At 36.9% G+C, this 20,548-nt stretch overlaps 1 protein-coding gene and 2 pseudogenes across 5 annotated transcripts in view; all 3 read left to right on the top strand.

Moving 5' to 3' along the window:
• The window catches only part of ZNF708 (zinc finger protein 708), a 38,251-nt gene extending 33,101 nt beyond the window's left edge, over nucleotides 1–5,150 (top strand). For all 5 annotated transcript variants that reach the window (XM_017027203.3, NM_001297561.2, NM_021269.3 and 2 more), the window contains one exon: nucleotides 1,571–5,150. In XM_017027203.3, coding sequence (XP_016882692.1) covers nucleotides 1,573–3,036 — 1,464 coding nt within the window. In that variant the 5' untranslated portion in view covers nucleotides 1,571–1,572 and the 3' untranslated portion in view covers nucleotides 3,037–5,150. The remainder of the gene's footprint in view (nucleotides 1–1,570) is intronic.
• COX16P1 (COX16 pseudogene 1) lies at nucleotides 4,978–20,335 on the top strand (annotated as a pseudogene).
• VN1R83P (vomeronasal 1 receptor 83 pseudogene) lies at nucleotides 6,312–6,756 on the top strand (annotated as a pseudogene).
• Nucleotides 20,336–20,548: the final 213 nt, after the last annotated feature.

Genomic DNA, 20,548 nt, shown 5'->3' with positions numbered 1-20,548 from the left:
AGACTGGTCTCGAACTTCTGACCTCAGGTGATCCGCCCGCCTCGGCCTTCCAAAGTGCTGGGATTACAGGCACGAGCCACTGTGCCCGGCCACTTCTTTTTACTTGCATTATTTTCACTTGACAGATTTTTTTTTTTTCCCCAGGACTTTGACTATATCACCCAGTTCTCTTCAGGCCTTCCAGTTTTTTTTGAAAAGTTACTGGTTATCTCATAAGACATTTTTATAAATGATACATTACTTTATCTTGCAGCTCCCAAGATTCTCTTCTTGTCTGACATTTTTATCTTCCTAATTTATGTTTTTTGAGATTTTTAATATTTTTATTGTTATCCTCATTTTTCTGAACTTCAGTAGTTGTCTGTGTTCCTGTTTCATTCACTGTGTAGTATTTAATTTATTTTAAATTGAAAAATTTATACATCTTTATATTCCTATGGTTGCTTTCTGAAAGTTTAGTAATGTTTTTGATGGGGTCATCCTGCCCTAATATTTTGTGTACATTAATCTTTGATTGAGATTTAAACATTAAAAACAAGCTACCTGTCACAATCTTTTTTTTTTGAGATGGAGTTTTGCTCTTGTTGCCCAGGCTGGAGTGCAATGGCATGATATCAGCTCACCACAACCTCTGCCTCCCGAGTTCAAGCGATTCTCCTGCCTCAGCCTCCCGAGTAGCTGGGATTACAGGCATGTGCCACCATGCCCAGCTAATTTTGTATTTTTAGTAGAGATGGGGTTTCTCCATGTTGGTCAGGCTGGTCTTGAACTCCCAACCTCAGGTGATTCACCCGCCTTGGCCTCCCAAAATGCTGGGATTACAGCTGTGAGCTACTGTGCCCGGCCCTGTCACAATCTTTATAATGTACCTTAGGCCTGGGATAGTTTGAAACCAGTTGTCTTGGCTAGAGATTTTGGGAGTCTCGCAAACATTTTCTTAGATTGTGTCTTGTCTGAAATTTTGTGGGCTTTTTAAGTTAAAGAAGTATGTTAGTGTTTTTTCTAAATAGTCAGTAATCACTTGCTAAACCTGTTTCCTGTATGTGGTACTGCAGTCTCTGCTGCTGTAACACTTAACTTTGGTCTCAGCAGACTCAAACTGTCATTCCAAAGTATACCACCATTTCTTTTAGCACTTTATGTCATGGGAGACAGAAACCAGTGTCTGAAAAGGCCCCTAAGAGCCAGAAATAAAGATGTATGTGACACTATTTTTTTTAGTCTTTTAAAAAAGAAACCAGGAGTTGGCAATTTACTTCTGAAGGCGCTATGTTATATTGGGCAGCAGAAAGAGGTGTGTTGGGTAAATGTAACAGACTTTTCTTTTTTCTCCTATGTGGCTCTTTGCATTGTCATCACCTGGGGCACTGCACAGACTTTACTTATTTATAAATTTTTTACAAATGTATTTTGGTCAGAATGCTTTTGTTACATTTATATGTCTATAAAGGATTTAGGATCTGTAGTATTTTGCTATGTCATCTTGTTTATATAGTTGGTATAAGTTAGATTTGTAAATATTAATCTGAGTTGAGTAAATGGAATAATTTGTTATTTTTATTTCTTTCAGCTATGTGTTCTCATTTTGCCAAAGACCTTAGGCCAGAGCAATATATAAAAAATTCTTTCCAACAAGTGATACTGAGAAGATATGGAAAATGTGGATATCAGAAAGGCTGTAAAAGTGTGGATGAGCATAAGTTGCACAAAGGAGGTCACAAGGGACTTAACCGGTGTGTGACAACTACCCAGAGCAAAATAGTTCAGTGTGACAAATACGTGAAAGTCTTTCATAAATATTCAAATGCAAAGAGACATAAGATAAGACATACTGGAAAAAATCCTTTCAAATGTAAAGAATGTGGCAAATCATTTTGCATGCTTTCACAACTAACTCAACATGAGATAATTCATACTGGAGAAAAACCCTACAAATGTGAAGAATGTGGCAAAGCTTTTAAAAAGTCCTCAAACCTTACGAATCATAAGATAATTCATACTGGAGAGAAACCCTACAAATGTGAAGAATGTGGAAAAGCTTTTAACCAGTCCTCAACTCTTACTAGACATAAGATAATTCATACTGGAGAGAAACTCTACAAATGTGAAGAATGTGGCAAAGCTTTTAACCGGTCCTCAAACCTTACTAAACATAAGATAGTTCATACTGGAGAGAAACCCTACAAATGTGAAGAATGTGGCAAAGCTTTTAAACAGTCCTCAAACCTTACTAATCACAAGAAAATTCATACTGGAGAGAAACCCTACAAATGTGGAGAATGTGGCAAAGCCTTTACCCTATCTTCACACCTTACTACACATAAGAGGATTCATACTGGTGAGAAACCCTACAAATGTGAAGAATGTGGCAAAGCTTTTAGTGTATTTTCAACCCTTACTAAACATAAGATAATTCATACTGAAGAGAAACCCTACAAATGTGAAGAATGTGGCAAAGCTTTTAACCGGTCCTCACACCTTACTAATCATAAGGTAATTCATACTGGAGAGAAACCCTACAAATGTGAAGAATGTGGTAAAGCCTTTACCAAGTCCTCAACTCTTACTTATCATAAGGTAATTCATACTGGAAAGAAACCCTACAAATGTGAAGAATGTGGTAAAGCCTTTAGTATATTCTCAATCCTTACTAAACATAAAGTAATTCATACTGAAGACAAACCCTACAAATGTGAAGAATGTGGCAAAACTTTTAACTACTCCTCAAATTTTACTAATCATAAAAAAATTCATACTGGAGAGAAACCCTATAAGTGTGAAGAATGTGGCAAAAGCTTTATTCTGTCCTCTCATCTTACTACACATAAGATAATTCATACTGGAGAGAAACCCTACAAATGTAAAGAATGTGGCAAAGCTTTTAACCAGTCCTCAACCCTTATGAAACATAAGATAATTCATACTGGAGAGAAACCCTACAAATGTGAAGAATGTGGCAAAGCCTTTAACCAGTCCCCAAACCTTACTAAACATAAGAGAATTCATACCAAAGAGAAACCCTACAAATGTAAATAATGTGTCAAATCCTTTAGTGTATTTTCAACTTTTATTAAAACACAAGATAATTCATACTGGAGAGAAATCCTACAAATGTGATAAATGTGGCAAAGCCTTTAACTGGCTCTTAATCCTTATGAAACAAAAGATAATTCATACTAGAGAGAAACCCTACAAATGTAAAGAATGTGGCAAAGCATTTAACTGGTCCCTAAATCTTACTAAACATAAAAAAACTTAAACTGGAGAGAAACTACAAAGCTGGAAGACATCACAGTAATTCTGACAACACCTCAAACTTTTCTAAACATAAAATAAATCATACTGGTGAGGAACTTTAAAAATGCGAAAAATGTGACAAAATCTTTAAATGATTGTCACACTTGATTGTAGGTAAGATAATTCTTACTAGAAAAACTCTTACAAGTGTGAAGAATGTGGCAAAATTTTTAATGAATACTCACACCTTATTGCCAGGAAAGCATTTATACTTGAGAAAAATTGTACCAATATAAAGACTGTGAAAAAGCCATTAATGTCTGCTCACATCTTACTCAACATCAGAGAGTACTTAAAAAAAGTATTATAAATTTAATTACTGTCAAAAAGTATTTCAGAAAATATAAGCTTTTAAAGTATTTATTTTGAAGACAAACATTACAAATAAAAGAGGATTGTAATACCTTTATTTGTATCACAGATCTTATTGTACACATTTTGTACTAGAGAAAACCCTGAAGCAGTTACTTAAACTTTGTTCAACATCAGGGAATTCAGATTGGAGAAAAACCCTGCAAATGTAATAAATTTGAAAAAAAAGTTTTCCAAAACTACAACTTAGACAACACCAGAGGGTTCATACTGAGATATATTTTTGCAGATGCAGTATATATTTAAAACATTTAATCCAAAATAAGTCTATGTAAATATCAGAGAATTCACAGTGGAAATATCTAAGGTAGGGCCGGGCATGGTGGCTCACGCCTGTAATGCCAGCACTTTGGGAGGCTGAGGTGGGCAGATCATGAGGTCAACAGATTGAGACCATCCTGGTCAACATGGTAAAACCCTGTCTCTACTAAAAATACAAAAATTAGCTGGGCGTGGCGGCACGTGCCTGTAGTCTCAGCTACTTGGGACGCTGAGGCAGGAAAATCCGTTGAACCCAGGAGGCAGAGGTTGTAGTGAGCCGAGATTGCACCACTGCACTCCAGCCGGGTGACAGAGTGAGACTCCATCTCAAAAACAAACAAACTAAGGTATGGATGCTTCAGACATTACACTATATCAAAGTGCTGACTGTTAAAAATGATCCCAAACTAACGGTAGATAAATTTATTTGTACATAACTTTAAAAGGAGTAGAAGATTTTTTGGAAGTTTGTAATTACATTCAAAGTATACTTTTTTTGTTTGTTTGTTTTCCTTGAGACAGAGTCTCTCTCTGTCGTCCAGGCTGGAGTGCAGTGGCACAATCTCAGCTCGCTGCAACCTCTGCCTCCTGGGTTCAAGCAATTCTCCTGCCTCAGCCTACTGAGTAGCTGAGATTACAGGTGCACACCACCACGTCCGGCTGACTTTTGTATTTTTAGTAGGGACGGGGTTTCACCATATTGGTCAGGGTAGTCTTGAACTCCTGACCTCATGCTCTGCCCAGCTTGGCTTCCCAAAGTGCTGTGATTACAGGCTTAAGCCACAGCGCCCGGCCCAAAGTGTTCTTTTTTCCTTGAAAAGAAGTACAGATTTTTTAAAAAGCTAATATTGCTGTGATTCAACTCTCTAGTTACTTGATGCTATTTCTTCATTTCTATTGTATTCACATGTGAAAGCATGTGATCAGTTGTCACGGCATCAAAGATAGGAGAGTTTCTTTTTTTTTAGGTGGGCATTATTTATGACCTTTTCTTTGGAAGAGTAAGGACATTAAAATGTAACATGCATGATGAAAATCTAAGTGGAGATGGTATTTGTGGTTAATTATGATATTGAGTGGTGCATGAGGTAGGTGTTTAGAGTAATATTCTTTTGCATTATAGTAAGAACATTTAAGTTTTGTTAAAATTAAAAAATTAGTACGTTATTTTACTATTTGTACTTTTATGTAATAAAATGCAGTACATTTTTAAATTTTCAGATGATGTGTGAACTTGTTTCATTATACATTTTTAACATGTTAATACTATTGTGCATTCAATGAAGCATTATTATGCCACTAACTGAAACCTATCCCATTTACTCAAAGGTGTAGGTAAATGATAGTAAGAATATACTATTTGGTAATGTAATCAACTAACATCTCTGGTAATCTCCTTTGCCAGTGGCTTTCAACTGCAAATAAGTTTAAAAAATACTGTTTCCGTAGGTTAAATTTTTATTATTTTTTCTTGTTGAAATCTGTTTAATTTTTTTTTTTTTTTTTGAGACAGTGTCTCGCTGTGTCCCCCAGGCTGGAGTGCAGTGGCACGATCTCGGCTCACTGCAAGCTCCGCCTCCCACATTCACGCCATTCTCCTTCCTCAGTGTCCTGAGTAGCTGGGACTACAGGCGCCCGCCAACACGCCCAGCTAATTTTTTGTATTTTTAGTAGAGACGGGGTTTCACCGTGTTAGCCAGGAGGGGCTCGATCTCCTGACCTCATGATCCGCCCATCTCGGCCTTCCAAAGTGCTGGGATTACAGGCGTGAGCCACTGCGCCTGGCCTAGATTTTTATACAACGTGTAGCAAATACAAAATTTGCTAGAGAATATATTTTAGAAATCAAAATTTTAGGAGTTCTAATGGTAAGTAAAGAATTTTAAATTTACTTTTCTGTAATGTAGTGTAACTTAATTTCTATGCAGAATCTTCTACTTTAAGAGTGAATGTTAAACATGGCAAAATAATAAAGTGACCTCTGTGAATTTGAAATTTGAGATAATATTTCTTTTCCATACTGATATTACAATTTGAAGAAATTTCCAGTTCATATAACTTTTTTTCAGTGGGTGAAGTTCAGTCTACAGTTTTTTTTTGTTTTTGAGAAAGAGTTTTGCTCTGTTGCCCAGGCTGGAGTGCAGTGGCCCAACCTCGGCTCACTGCAACCTCCGCCTCCCAGGTTCAAGTGATTCTCCTGCCTCAGCCTTCCAGGTAGCTAGGATTACAGGCATGCGCCACCACACCCAGCTAATTTTTGTATTTTTAGTAGAGACCAGGGTTTCCCCATATTGGGCAGGCTGGTCTCGAACTGCTGACCTCATGATCCACCTGCCTCAGCTTCCCAAAATGCTGATAACAGGCGTGAGCCCCCGCACCTGGCCCAATCTACAGTTTTTATTCTGAGTCATCTAAGTATAGCCAACTCCTTGGTCATTTTCTCTGAAGAATTTTGGAAATTTTGGCAACTTGTGGATTAAAACATTTCCTATTATTTTGCATGCAAGCTTGTTTACTGTGTTCACAGTCATGGGACAATAAACATCACCTGCCCATTTACTGTCTATCATACCATTACCATCAGCACCAGAAACTCCAGGTGCCCCAAGCTTAGAAGCCCTAAACTACATTGGCTCCTCTCATACACTGTGCTGTGTCCAGAACATGCTGTTAAATATCAGAGTACCTATGGTTGTGTTGTGGCTGAAAAATAATGCGAAAAAAACAGCACAAAAACCATATATTTTGGATACTATTCAGCAAAATTAATGATGAAGACACAATATTTGAAACATTGTTATCCTTCTATAATGTTTTAAAAATACATTTCTTAACTGGACAGATGAAATGTGTGTTCTGTAAAGCATGATGATTTGAAGTATATCTACATTGTCAAATGATAAATTCTAGGTAATTAATGCTTTACCTCACATAGTTTACATTTTTGTGGTGAGAGCCTGTAATATCCTCTTACCATTTTTCAAAAATACAATATTATGAACTGTAGTCAGTGTTGCACAAACAATATCTTGAACTTATTCCTCCAACTTAACTATAATTATGTATTCATTGATAGACATCTTTCCAAACCATTCTTTTTTCTAAGTATCTTGGCATCTTGTGGTCACCATTTTACTCTCTACTTCAATGAGATTTGTTATTTATACTTTAAGTGTAGGTGAAATCGTGAAATACTAATCTTTCTGTGCCTGGCTTATTTCAACTAATATCCTCTAGGTTAATCCATGTGGTTGAAAATAATAGAATTTTTTTTTAGAGGTGAAGAGTATTCCACTAGATATATCTACCACATTGTCTTTATTTACTTATTAGGTGTTGAGTGTTGCAAACAACATAGAAGTGCAAACTTTCCTTCATTGTGATTTTATTCATTTTGGATGTATATTTAATAGTGCAATTGCTGTATTATATGGTAGTTTGATTTTAAATTTTTTTTGAAAAATCTCTCTTTTGTTTTCCAAAATGGCTGTCCTCATTTACACTCATACCAATAGTATACAAGCATTCCCTTTTCTTCACATCTTTATCAACACATTTCTTTTTACTAAGAGTCATTCTATCAAAAGTGAGTATATATCTCACAGTTATTTTGTCTTGGCTTTCAATAATAATAATTGACATTGAGAATTTTTTATGTATCTGTTGGCTCTATGTATGTCTTTTGAAAAATAAGCATTTTACTCATTTTTAATTTGTTTTTTGTGATATAGTCATTTGAATTTTAATATATTTTTGATATTAACCCTTTGTCACATGTATGATTTGCACATATTTTCTCTTATTTCTTAGTTGTCACATCCTGTTGATTTCATCAGATTCTGTGCAGCAGCTTTTTAATTTGAAGTAATCTGAGTCATCTATTTTTCCTTTGCTTTCCTGGGGTTTGAGTTTAAATCATAAAGTCACTGCCAGCCGGGTGTGGTGATTCATGCCTGCAATCCCAGCATTTTGGGAGGCCGAGGCAGGTGGATCACTTGAGGCCAGTTTGAGAACAGCCTGGCCAGCATGGTGAAACCCCGTCTCTACTAAAAATACAAAAATTAGCCAGACTTGATGGCACACACCTGTAGTCCCAGCTACTTGGGAGGCTGAGGCAGGAGAATTGCTTGAACCCGGGAGATGGAGGTTGCAGTGAGCTGAGGTTGCACCAATGCACTCCAGCCTGTGCAAAAGAACGAGACTCTATCTCAAAAAAAAAAAAAAAAAGTTACTGCCTAGACCAATGTTATGGGGCTTTTACTCTACTTTTGTGTATTAGTTTCATTGCAGTTTCAAGCATTACATGTAAGTTTCTAATTTATTTTGAATTGATTTTTACATGTGGTGTCAAATGAGGGTCTCATTGCTTTGCATGTGGCTGTAAAGTTTCTCAACACCATTTATTGAAGATACTGTCCTTTCTCTGAGAAATTGTCACCTATATTTAAAATTAGACAGTTGTAAATACATGGATATATTTCTGGTTTCTTTGGGTTCATTTTTATTCCAATATACTGCTTTGGTCACTATAGCTTTGTAGTATATTTCAAAGTAAGGTTGTGTGATACCTTCAACCTTTCTTTTTTGCTTGATTGCTCTGGGTATTTGGGGTCTTTTGTGGTGCCATATTAATTTTAAATACATTTTAAAAATTTTATGAAGTCACTGGTATTTTGATACAGGTTACATTTTATCTGTAGATTATTTTGTTTAACACACATATTTAGCAATATTAATAGTACCAATTCAGGAATGAGTAATATTTTCCATTTGTGTATTACTTAATTTTTTACTTTTATGTTCTTTAGATTATAATATAAGGTGTTTCACCTTTTTACTTAAATTTATTTCAAAGTATAGTTACTCAAGTTATTGTAGCTGGGATTCTTTTTAAATTTCATTTTGAGATAGTTAATTGTTAGTGTATAGAAATGCTACTGACTTTCATATGTTGATTTGTATTCTGCAAATTTAATAAATTTGTTTATTAGTTCTAGTAGTTCTAGTAAAGTCTTAGGCTTTTCTGTACTTAAGATTATATCGTCTGCAAACAAATAATTTAATTTCTTTTCTTCCAATCTGCCTATCTTTGCTTTTATCTTACAATTTCTCTCTTTGGACATTTAGTATTATGTTTAGTTAAGAATGAAGAAAGTGGTCATCTGCTCAGGAGTGGTGGCTCATGCCTGTAATCCCAGCACTTTGGGAAGCCAAGGCAGGTGGATCACCTGAGGTCAGGAGTTCGAGACCAGCTTGGCCAACATGGTGAAACCCAGTCTAACTAAAAATACAAAAATTAACTGGATATGGTGGCAGGTGCATGTAATCCCAGTTACTTGGGAGGCAGAGGGAGGTGAATCGCTTGAACCTGGGAGACAGAGGTTGCAGTGAGCTGTGATTGTGCCATTGCACTCCAGTCTGGGTGACAAGAGTGAGACTCCGTCAAAAAAAAAAAAGAAGAAAGAACAAGAAAGAAAGAAAAGGAAGGAAGGAGAGAGAGAAAGAAAGAAGAAAGAAAAGGAGAGAAGGAAAGGAAGAAAGGAGAGAGAAAGAAAGAGAAGCAAGAAAAGGAGAGAAGGAAAGGAAGAAAGGAAAAGGAAGAAAGAGGGCATCCCTGTCTTGTTCTAGGTCTTAGAGTAAGAGCTTACATTTCACTGTTTAATATGTTGTTAGCTGGACATTTTTTTCTATACATGGCATTTATTGGCTTGAGATGCATTTGTCCTATACTAATTATTTTTTAGAGATTATCATGAGGGAATGTTGAATTTTGTCAAACTTTTGTTTTTTTTTTTGGCTGGAGTTTCACTCTTGTCATCCAGGCTGGAGTGCACTGGCACGATCTCGGCTCACTGCAACCTCTGCCTCCCAGGTTCAAGCAATTCTCCTGCCTCAGCCTCCTGAGTAGCTGGGATTACAAGCGTGAGCCACCACGCCCAGTTAATTTTTGTATTTTTAGTAGAGACAGGGTTTCCCCACGTTGGCCAGGCTGGTCTCGAACTCCTGACCTCAGGTGACCCACCCGCCTCGACCTCCCAAAGTGCTGGGATTACAGGTGTGAGCCACTGCACCCAGCCAAATTTTGTCAAGCTTTTATTCTGCATCTATTTAAATGTTAGAGTTGTGATATCACAACTAATTTCACATAAATAGTAAACATCCTCAGAGACTACTATGCACATCTCTATGCATGCAAACTAAAAAATTTAGAGAAAATAGATAAACTCCTGGATACATCCAGCTTCTCAGCATTGAACCAGAAAGAAACAGAAGTCTTGAACAGAGCAACAATGTATAAAGTATATAATAAGATTGAATTACTAATAAAACAAGCTACCAACCATAGAAAGCCCTGGATAAGATGAGTTCACAGCCACATTTTATCACATATACAAAGATAACCTGGTATTAATTCTACTGAGTGTATTCCAAAAATCAAGGTGGAAGTCCTTCCTAAATTATTTGAAAACATTATTATCTTGGTAGTAAAACCTAGTGAAGACACAACAAAAAAGGAAAATTACCGGTCACTATTCTTGGTGAAAATTGAAACAAAAATTCATGAAGTACTAGCAAGTTGAGTTCATAAGCAAAGCAAAAAGTTATTTTGCCACAATCATGTAAACTTCATTGTATGAATGCAAAGATGTTTCATCATATACAAGTAAATAAATGTGATTCACCATGTAAAGATAATTTTTAAAAAACAATTATCACATGCAGAAAAGGCATTCAAGAAAATCTAATACTCATTTATAAAAACATTCTCAACAAACTAAGCACTGGAGAAATATGCCTGAAAATAATAAGAGCCATCCATGACAAATCCTCAGCCAACATCATACTGAGCGGGCAAAACCTGGATGAGGTCTCCATCAGAATAAAAATAAGGCTGGGTGCAGTTGCTCACGCCTGTAATCCCGGCTCTTTGGGAGGCTGAGGTGGGTGGATCACCTGAGGTCAGGAGTTCAAGACCAGCCTGGCCAACAGGGTGAAACTCTGTCTGTACTAAAAATACAAAAAATTAGCCTGTCGTGCTGGCAGGCATGTGTAATCCCAGCTACTCAGGAGGCTGAGGCAGGAGAATCACTTGAATGTGGGAGGCAGAGGTTGCAGTGAACTGAGATCATGCCATTGCAATCCAGCCTGGGCAACAAGAGTGAGACTCCATCTCAAAAAAAAAAAAAAAAAAAGACAAAGAGTATCCACTCTAAACACTTCTATTCAACATAGTCCTGAAAGTCGTAGCCACAGCAATTTAACAAGATAAAGCAATAAAATGTATTCAAATAGAAAAAGAGGAAGTCAAATTATCTTCACTGGTGATATAATTCTCTACCTGGGAAACTTCACCGAAAAAGATTTCACCAAAAGATTTCTAAGCCTAAAGAATGACTTCAGCAAAGTCTCACCATACTAAATCAACATACACAAATGAGTAGCATTTCTGTGCACCAATAATATTCAAGCTGAGAAAAAAAGAACATGGTTCTATTTACAATAGCTACAAACAAAAAAATATGTACCTAGTAATACATTAAATCAAGGAGGTAAAATATCTCTACAACAAGAACTACAAAACTGCTGAAAAAAAATAGAGACAACGCAAATAAGTAAAAAGGCACTCCATGCTCATGAATTTAAAGAATCAATATAATTAAAATGTCCGTGCTGCCTAAAGCAACTTACAGATTAAGTGCTACTTCTCTCAAACTATAAATGCAACTTTTTATGGAATTAGAAAAAGAAAACCATTCTAAAAGTCATATGGAAGAATAAAACAGCCCATTTAGCCAAAGCAACATTAACAACAAAGCAATCCTGGAGGCCTCACATTACCTGGCTTGTACTACAAAGCTACAGTAATCCATATTACATGGCTTGCTACAAAAATACACATGTAGACCAATAGAAAGAAGAGAAAGCCCTGAAATAAGTTTACATTTCTACACCCAACTTTTTTCTGACAAAGTCAACAGAAGTAAACAAGGAAAAATTGTCTATCCAACAAATGGTACTGGGAAAACTGGTTAATCATATGTAGAAGGAGAAAATTGAAACTGTACCTCTCACCATATAAAAAATGTAATTCAAAATAGATTAAAAACTTAACTGTGAAACTTAAAGCTATAAAAATCGTAGAACATCAAAAAAGTACTCTTCTAGTCACTGGCCTCTGGAAAGGATTTATGACTAACACCATAAAAGTGAATGCAACAAAAATAAAAGTGAAAAATTAACACCTAATTAAACTAAAAAACTTCTGCACACCAAAAGAAACCATTGACAAATATGCAGACAACCTAGAGTATGGAATAAACTATTTTCAAACTTCATACAAGAAAAAGTTAATATTTATTCATATATATTATGTATTTATATAATATATAAATTAAGTTAATGGTTAGAATACTATAAAAATTTAATAAGGAAATACACAAATGATCTGAGTAGACACTTCTCAAAAAAAGACATGAGAGTTGCCAATAAACATGCAAAAAATTGCTCACCATCCCTAATCATCAGAGACATGTAAATCAAAATGACAATGTGATGCCATTTCATAGCAGTTAGAATGGCTGTTATTAAAAAGTAAAAATATTGCAGATGTTGAAGTTGTGGAGAAAAGGGAATGTATATATACTGTTGGTTGAAATGCAGTTTAATGCAGCCCTTGTGAAATGCAGTTTGGAGATTTCTTAACTGAAAATAGAATTGCCGTTTGACCCATCAGTCTCATTACTGGGTGTATACCAAAAGGAGAATAAATTATTTATTTATTTATTTGTTTATTTTTGAGATGGAGTCTTGCTCTGTCTCCCCAGCTAGAGTGCAGTGGCGCGATCTGGACTCACTTCAGTCTCTGCCTGCTGGGTTCCAGCAATTCTCCTCCCTCAGCCTCTTGAGTAGCTGGGACTACAGGCATGTGTCACCATGCCCGGCTAATTTTTTGTATTTTTAGTAGAGACGGGGTTTCATCCTGGTGGCCAGGCTGGTCTCCAACTCTTGACCTCATGATCCACCCACTTGGGCTTCCCAAAGTGCTGGGATTACAGGCGTGAGCCACTGTGCCCCGCCTGAGAATAAATTATTTTACCCAAAAGACTCCTTGCACTCACGTGTTTATTGCAGCACTATTCACAGTAGCAAAGACAGAATTAAACTAGGTAGCCATGAATCTTAAATTGGATAAAAAAAACTTAGATACTTGTACATCATGCAATACTATGCAGCCACAGAAGACAGTGAAGTAATGTCCTTTGTAGCAACATGTCTGCAGAAGATGGCCATTATTCTAAGCAAATTAACAGAAAACTATTACATGTTCTTACTTACATGTGGGAGCTAAACATTGGGTGCATATGGAAACAAAGATGAAAACAATAAACACTGGGGATTCCAAAAAGAAGAAAGAAGGGAGAGAAACAGTGAAAAACTACTTAACAGGTATGATGTATGCCACTTAGGTAATGGGATTATTAAGTGCCCAAACCTCAACACCATGCAGTATACCTGTGTTACAAATCTGCACACATACCCTCAATCTGTAATAATAAAATGGTTTGTGGATAATGACATGTTACACTTCTCCCGTTCTGGCTTAATAGTTGGAATTGGGGTGAAAGACTCAGTATTATGTTCCCTTTTGAAAGAGGGGTGAAAGTCTCTGTACCAGGTCGCTCGACATTCTATAAGCTAACATCTCTGAAAGCTCTTGGTCTATAGCTCAAGAAGTGTTTTATTCCCAATTATGCAGCTAGAATAAGTGACTAATCTTTATTTTTTATTAGCTGTACTTTAGACTACAGATTTAATTTGTTACTCTTTGGGGAAAAAATGGAAGTTGGTTTAATCATCTTTCTTTTTTATAATGAACCATTTTTGAAAATGTGAGATTGTGAAAATCATGCTAAATTTCTGAATTAGGAAAAAAAGATTTCTCTCAAATAAGCATAAATGTCTTATGACCATAACTCAAGAATAACAAAATAGAGTGAGGGTTATTTAAGACCACCCTGCTGCAACCATTCTGTCACAACCATTCTGGTGAAGAAAGAATACTTTCCTCATTCTATTTTAGCGTTAATTTTTATTTGCCTTTATTATTTGCCATATAGAAATCTGTTCCTCAGGCTGGGCATCGTGGCTCATGCCTGTAATTTCAGCACTTTGGAAGGTCAAGGCAGGCGGATCACCTGAGGTCAGGAATTCGAGACCAGCCTGGCCAACATGATGAAACCCTGTCTCTACTAAAAATACAAAGAAAATTAGCCAGACATGGTGGCAGGTGCTTGTAATCCCAGCCACTCAGAAGGCTGAGGCAGGAGAATCGCTTGTACCTAGGAGGCAGAGGTTGCGGTCAGCCGACACAGCGACATTACCCTCCAGCCTGGGCAACAAGAGAAAAACTCCACCTCAAAAAAAAAAAAAAAAAAAAAGTCTGTTCTTCAAGAAAAGATGCCAGGAATTTCAAGTTAATATGTTCAAACATATATTCTCCCTAGAAGGGTACTGGTGTGTTTGCAATCAAGGTGTAGGATTTCTGGCCTTCCTTGTTTTGCTGTGTTTGTGAGAAATAGGCAGAAGGTAAAGCTGAGTCAACCATGACATTTCTAGTTACTACAGCCACAGCACCTCAAATCTAGTGTTATGTCAACTAGAAATTATGATTGTGTTTCATAAGTAAGAAAAATGAATTAATACTTTCTAGATGATAGTATTAATATTTTAGTAGCTTATGATTGTGAGTCACAATTGCCCCATTGGGTTTACTGAAAAGCAGTTATTTATCTTCTAAGTGTAAAAAGAGAATAGGTGTTCTATAATCCTATGCATACAGATCTTTTAAGATTGGCACTGTGTTTAGATTTGAATACATTCATACATTTGTAGCAATTTAAATTTTAATATTTTTCTAATAGAAGTGAAAAAAACAATAGAAATAGTTAACATGAGTTGAACAGAAACTTCACGTTTTCATTAAATAACATTTAAAACCACATTGTGACCAGTAATTCCAATCTGTTTCATTTAGTAACTAAAATAACTTGATATCCTTTATTCAATCAGAAATAGTATTTTTATATTGGTGTTTCTGAAACTTTCAGAAACTGTAGACCACTTAATGGGTAATAATGCACATGCAAATCACAAATTTTCTACATAATAGTAAGCTTAGCCTAGCTTTTAATATAAATATTCACTATATTTCCAAAGTAAAATTAGCGGCTCTTTCTGGGTGCAGTGGCTCACACCTGTAATCCCAACACTTTGGGAGGCCAAGGCGGGCGAATCACGAGGTCAGGAGTTCAGGACCAGCCTGGCCAACATGGTGAAACCCCATCTCTACTAAAAATACAAAAATTAGCCAGGCATGGTGGTGCGTGCCTGTAATCCCAGCTACTCAAGAGGCTGAGATGGGAGAATGGCTTGAACCCAGGAGGCGGAGGTTGCAGTGAGCTGAGATCATGCCATTGCACTCCAGCCTGGGCAACAGAGCAAGACTCCATCTCAAAAAAAAAAAATTAGTGGCTCTTTTAAGTGATGAGACAGATATAATTGTTAGGCCGGGCACGGTGGCTCATGCCTATAATCCCAGCAGTTTGGGAAGCCGAGGCGGGTGGATTATGAGCCCAGGAGTTCGAGACCAGCCTGGCTAAGATAGTGAAACCCTGTCTCTACTAAAAACACAAAAATTAGCCGGCTGTGGTGGCACACACTTGTAGTCCCAGTTACTTAGGAGGCTGAGGCAGGAGAATCGCTTGACCCCGGAGGCAGATGTTGCAGTGAGCCAAGATCGTGCCACTGCACTCCATCCTGGTGACAGAGGGAGACTCCGTCTCAAAAAAAAAAAAAAAAAGTTTTAAATTGGTAAGGTGGAAATCAAGCTGTTGCTGTTTGATGGTAATATAATAGTATACCTAGAAAACATTAAAGACTCCTCTGAAAAGCTTCTATAACTGATAAATGAATTCAGCAAAGTTTCAGGATACAAAATCAACGTACACAAATCAGTAGCAATCTAAAAATTCAATGCAATTTCCATCAAAATACCACCAATGTTCTTCACAGAAGTAGAAAAATCACTGATAAAATCCATATGGAACCAAAAAAGAGCTCACATAGCCAAAGCAAAACTAAGCAAAAAGAACAAATCTGGAGGCATCGTGTTACCTGACTTCAAGGCATAATATATTTTATAAGGCCCTAGTCCCCAAAACAGCAGGATACTGGTATAAAAACAGGCACATAGGCCAGGCGCGGTGGCTCACGCCTGTAATCCCAGCACTTTGGGAGGCCGAGGCAGATGGATCACGAGGTCATGAGATTGAGACCATCCTGGCTAAAACGGTGAAACCCCGTCTCTACTAAAAATACAAAAAATTAGCCGGGCGCGGTGGCAGGCGCCTGTAGTCCCAGCTACTCAGGAGGCTGAGGCAGGACAATGGCGCGAACCCGGGAGGTGGAGCTTGCAGTGAGCCGAGATCGCGCCACTGCACTCCAGCCTGGGAGACAGAGCGAGACTCCATCTCAAAAAAACAAACAAACAAACAAACAAACAAAAAAACCAGGCACATAGATCAGTAGAACAGAATACAGAACCCAGAAATAAACCCAAATAGCCTACTCCTGAATGATTTTTTTTTTTTTTTTTTGAAACAGAGTCTCACTCTATTGCCCAGGCTGGAGTGCAGTGGCATGATCTTGGCTCACTGCAACATCCACCTCTTAGGTTCAAGCAATTCAGCCTCCGAGTAGGTAGGATTACAGGAACAAGCCACCATGCCTGGCTAATTTTTGTATTTTTAGTAGAGATGGGGTTTCACTATTTTGGCAAGGATAGTCTCAAACTCCTGACCTCAAGTGATCTGCCCACCAAAGTGCTGGAATTATAGGAGTGAGTCACCATGCCCAGCCTCCTGAATGAGCTTTGAATCAACAACAAAATTAAGGTGGAAATTTAAAAACACTTTGATTTGAATGACAATAATGTCACAACTTATGAATACCTCTGGGATACAGCAAAAGTCGTGCTAAGAGAAAGTTGATAGCAATAAATGCCTACATCAAAAAGTCTAAAATGGCAAAAACAGACTACATAAGGTTACACCTCAAAAATCTAGAGAAGCAAAAACAAATCAAATCCAAATGCAGCAGCACAGAAAAAATAACAAAGAGAAAAACTAACTGAAATTGAAACAAAAAAATACAAGAAAATAAATGAAACAAAAAGCTGGTTGTTTACAAAGTTGAACAAAATTGATAGACCATTACTAGCAAGATTAACCAAAAAAAGCAGAGAGAAGATCTAAATAAGCTCAATTACAAACAAAATGGAAGATTTACAGACAATACCACAGAAATACAAAAGATTTTGCTACCATGAATATATTTACATGTACAAATTAGAAAACCTAGAGAAGATGCATAAATTCCTGGAAATACACAATCCTTTTAGATTAAACCTGGAAGAAACAGAAACTCTGAACAGACCAATAAGAGGTAGTGAGATTGAAATAGTAATAAAAAATTGCTAACCAAATAAGTCCAGGAGTACATGAATTCACAGATATATTTTATCATCAGACATTCAAAGAAGAATTGTTACCAATCTTACTGAAACTATTCCAAAAGATAAAAAGGTAATCTTCTCTAAATCATTCCATCAAGCCAATATCACCCTAATCCCCAAACCAGAAAAAGGCATGACAAAAAAACAAAAAAAGTAAATATTTCTGATGAACATAGATGATAAAATTATCAGCAAATTCCTAGCTAACCAAATACAACAGCATATCAAAAAGATAATACACCATGATCAAGTGCATTTTATACCAGAAATGAAGGGATGGTTTAACATATGCAAGTAAATAAATGTGATATACCACATAAACAGAATTAAAAACAAAAATCACATGATTATCTCAATAGGCTCAGAAAAAAATCTGACAAAATCCAGCATCACTTCAGCATTAAAACCCTTAGCAAAACTGGCAGAGAGAGGACATAGCTTAAGGTAACAAAAGCCATTTATGACAAACCCACAGCCCACCTTATACTGAATGGGAAAAATTTGAAAGCATTACCCCTGAGAGCTAGAACAAGACAAGGATGTTCACTTTCACCACTTCTATTCGACATAGTACTGGAATTCTTAGCCAGAGCATTCAAACAAGAGAAAGAAATAAAGGGCATCCAAATTGGAAAAGAGGAAGTCAAACTGTGACTGTTCACTGATGATGTGATTGTATACCTAAAAGACACTAAAGACTCATCCAAAAAGCCCCTAGATCTGATAAATGAATTCAGTGAAGTTTCAGGATACAAAATCAATGTACAAAATTCAGTAGCACTGCTATGCACAAATAGCAACCCAAACTAGGAATCAAATCAAGAACTCAACCCCTCTTACAACAGCTGAAAAATAATAATAATAATAATAATAATAATAATAATAATAATAATAATTAGGAATATACTTAGCCAAGGAGGCAAACGATCTCTACAAGGTAAATAACAAAACACTTGAAATAAATTATAGATGACACAAACAAATGGAAACACATTTCATGCTCATGGATAAGTAGAGTGACTATTGTGAACATGACCATGATGCCAAAAACAATCTACAAATTCCATGCAATTCCCATAAAGATAGCATCATCATTCTTCACAGAACTAAAACAAAAAAAGACAATTATAAAATTCATATTGAACCAAAAAAAGCCCACATAGCCAAAACAAGACTAAGTAATAAGAACAAATCTGAAGGCATTACATTACCAACTTCAAACTATATCAAAAGGTGATAGTTATCAAAACAGTATGGTACTGGTATAAAAATAGGCATGTAGAACAACAACAGAATTTCATACCCAGAAATGAACCCAAATACTTAAAGCCAACTAATTTTTGACACTGTTAACGAAAACAAAGTATAAAAAGGACACCCTAAGGCTGGGCGTGGTGGCTCATGCCTGTAATCCCAGCACTTCGGGAGGCCAAGGCAGGTGGATCACCTGAGGTCAGGAGTTTGAGACCAGCCTGGCCAACATGGTGAAACCTCATCTTTAATAAAACTACAAAAATTAGCCAGGCACAGTGGCTTATGCCTGTAATCCCAGCCCTTTGGGAGACCAAGACAGGTGGATCACTTGAGGTTAGGAGTTCAAGACCAGCCTGACCAACATGGCAAAACCCAGTTTCTACTAATAATACAAAAAATTAGCCAGGCATGGTGGCACGCGCCTGTATTCCCAGCTACTCAGGAGGCTGAAGCAGGAGCATCACTTGAACCCAGGAGGCAGAGGTTACAGTGAGCCAAGATTGTGCCATTGTACTCCAGCCTGGGCAACAAGAGCAAAACTCCGTTTTAAAAAAAAAAAAAGGACAGCCTGTTAAAGAAATGGTGCTGAGATAGCTGGTAAGCCACATGTAGAATAAGAAAATTGGGTCTTCATCTCTCATCCTATACAAAAATCAACTCAACATGGATCAAAGACTGAAATCTAAGACCTGAAACTATAAAAATTCTAGAAGATAACATCAGAAGAACGCTTCTAGACATTTGCTTAGGCAAAGAGTTTGTAACCAGGAACCCTAAAGCAAATGCAAAAAAAAAAAAATCATAAATAAATGGGACTTACTAAACTGAAAAGCTTCTGCACAGCAAAAGAAGTAATCAGCAGAGTAAAGAGAAAACCCACAGAGTAGAAAATATTTACAACCAATGCATTCAACAAAGGACTGTTACCCGGAATCTACAAGGAACTTGAACAAATCAGCAAGAAAAAACAAACAAACAAACAAACAAATAATCCCATGAAAATGTGGACGAATGACACGAATAGACAATTCTCAAAAGAAGATATACAAATGGCCAACAAACATATTTAAAAAATGCTTGGAAACCTATCAGTAAGGACCGAACACCAAACAACCAAGGAAAGTTGGTGAGTCTCATCTTGATGAGAGCTTGGACCACTGAGATTTGAGAATCTGCGTTGGGCCTGCTTGCAGTTCTAAACGGGTGGAAGAGTTCAGTCGTTTGCACCCGCAGTGATGCGTGCTTTGCGCAAGAATAAGACTCTCCACTACGAAGTCCCCATGTTGTTGCTAATTGTTGGAGTTTCTTTTGGTGTTCGTGAGTTTTTACAAATCTGACATGATGCAGTGAAGATTAAAATTGATCCTGAGTTGGAAAAAAACTGAAAGCAAATAGTATCATTAGAGTCAGAATATGAGAAAAGACTCCACTTTTGATGACTGGAAGAATATCCAAGGACCCAAGCCTTGGAAAGATCCTGACCTCCTCCAAGAAAGGAATCCAGAAATCCTTAAGACTAAGACAACCTGACTGTGCTGATTCTTTTTGATTTTTTAAATAAAAATGTCATCAACTGGATTTCCTAATACATACCCCTATCAAGTGGAAAGAAGATTCCAGGCTCATTGAAACCCGAATATGGGTAACTTGTTGGCAGATAATCTTGATAAAATATCAAGTACAAGGCTGGGCACAGTGGCTCATGCCTGTAATCCCAGCATTTTGGGAGGCTGAGGCAGGTGGATCATGAGGTCAGGAGTTCAAGACCAGCGTGGCCAGTATGTTGACACC

The sequence above is a fragment of the Homo sapiens genome, chromosome 19, assembly GCF_000001405.40.
Source record: "Homo sapiens chromosome 19, GRCh38.p14 Primary Assembly".
In the NCBI taxonomy this organism is placed as follows: domain Eukaryota; kingdom Metazoa; phylum Chordata; class Mammalia; order Primates; family Hominidae; genus Homo; species Homo sapiens.
Note: the sequence above shows the minus strand (reverse complement) of the source record. Positions and strands in the feature narration are given on the sequence as shown.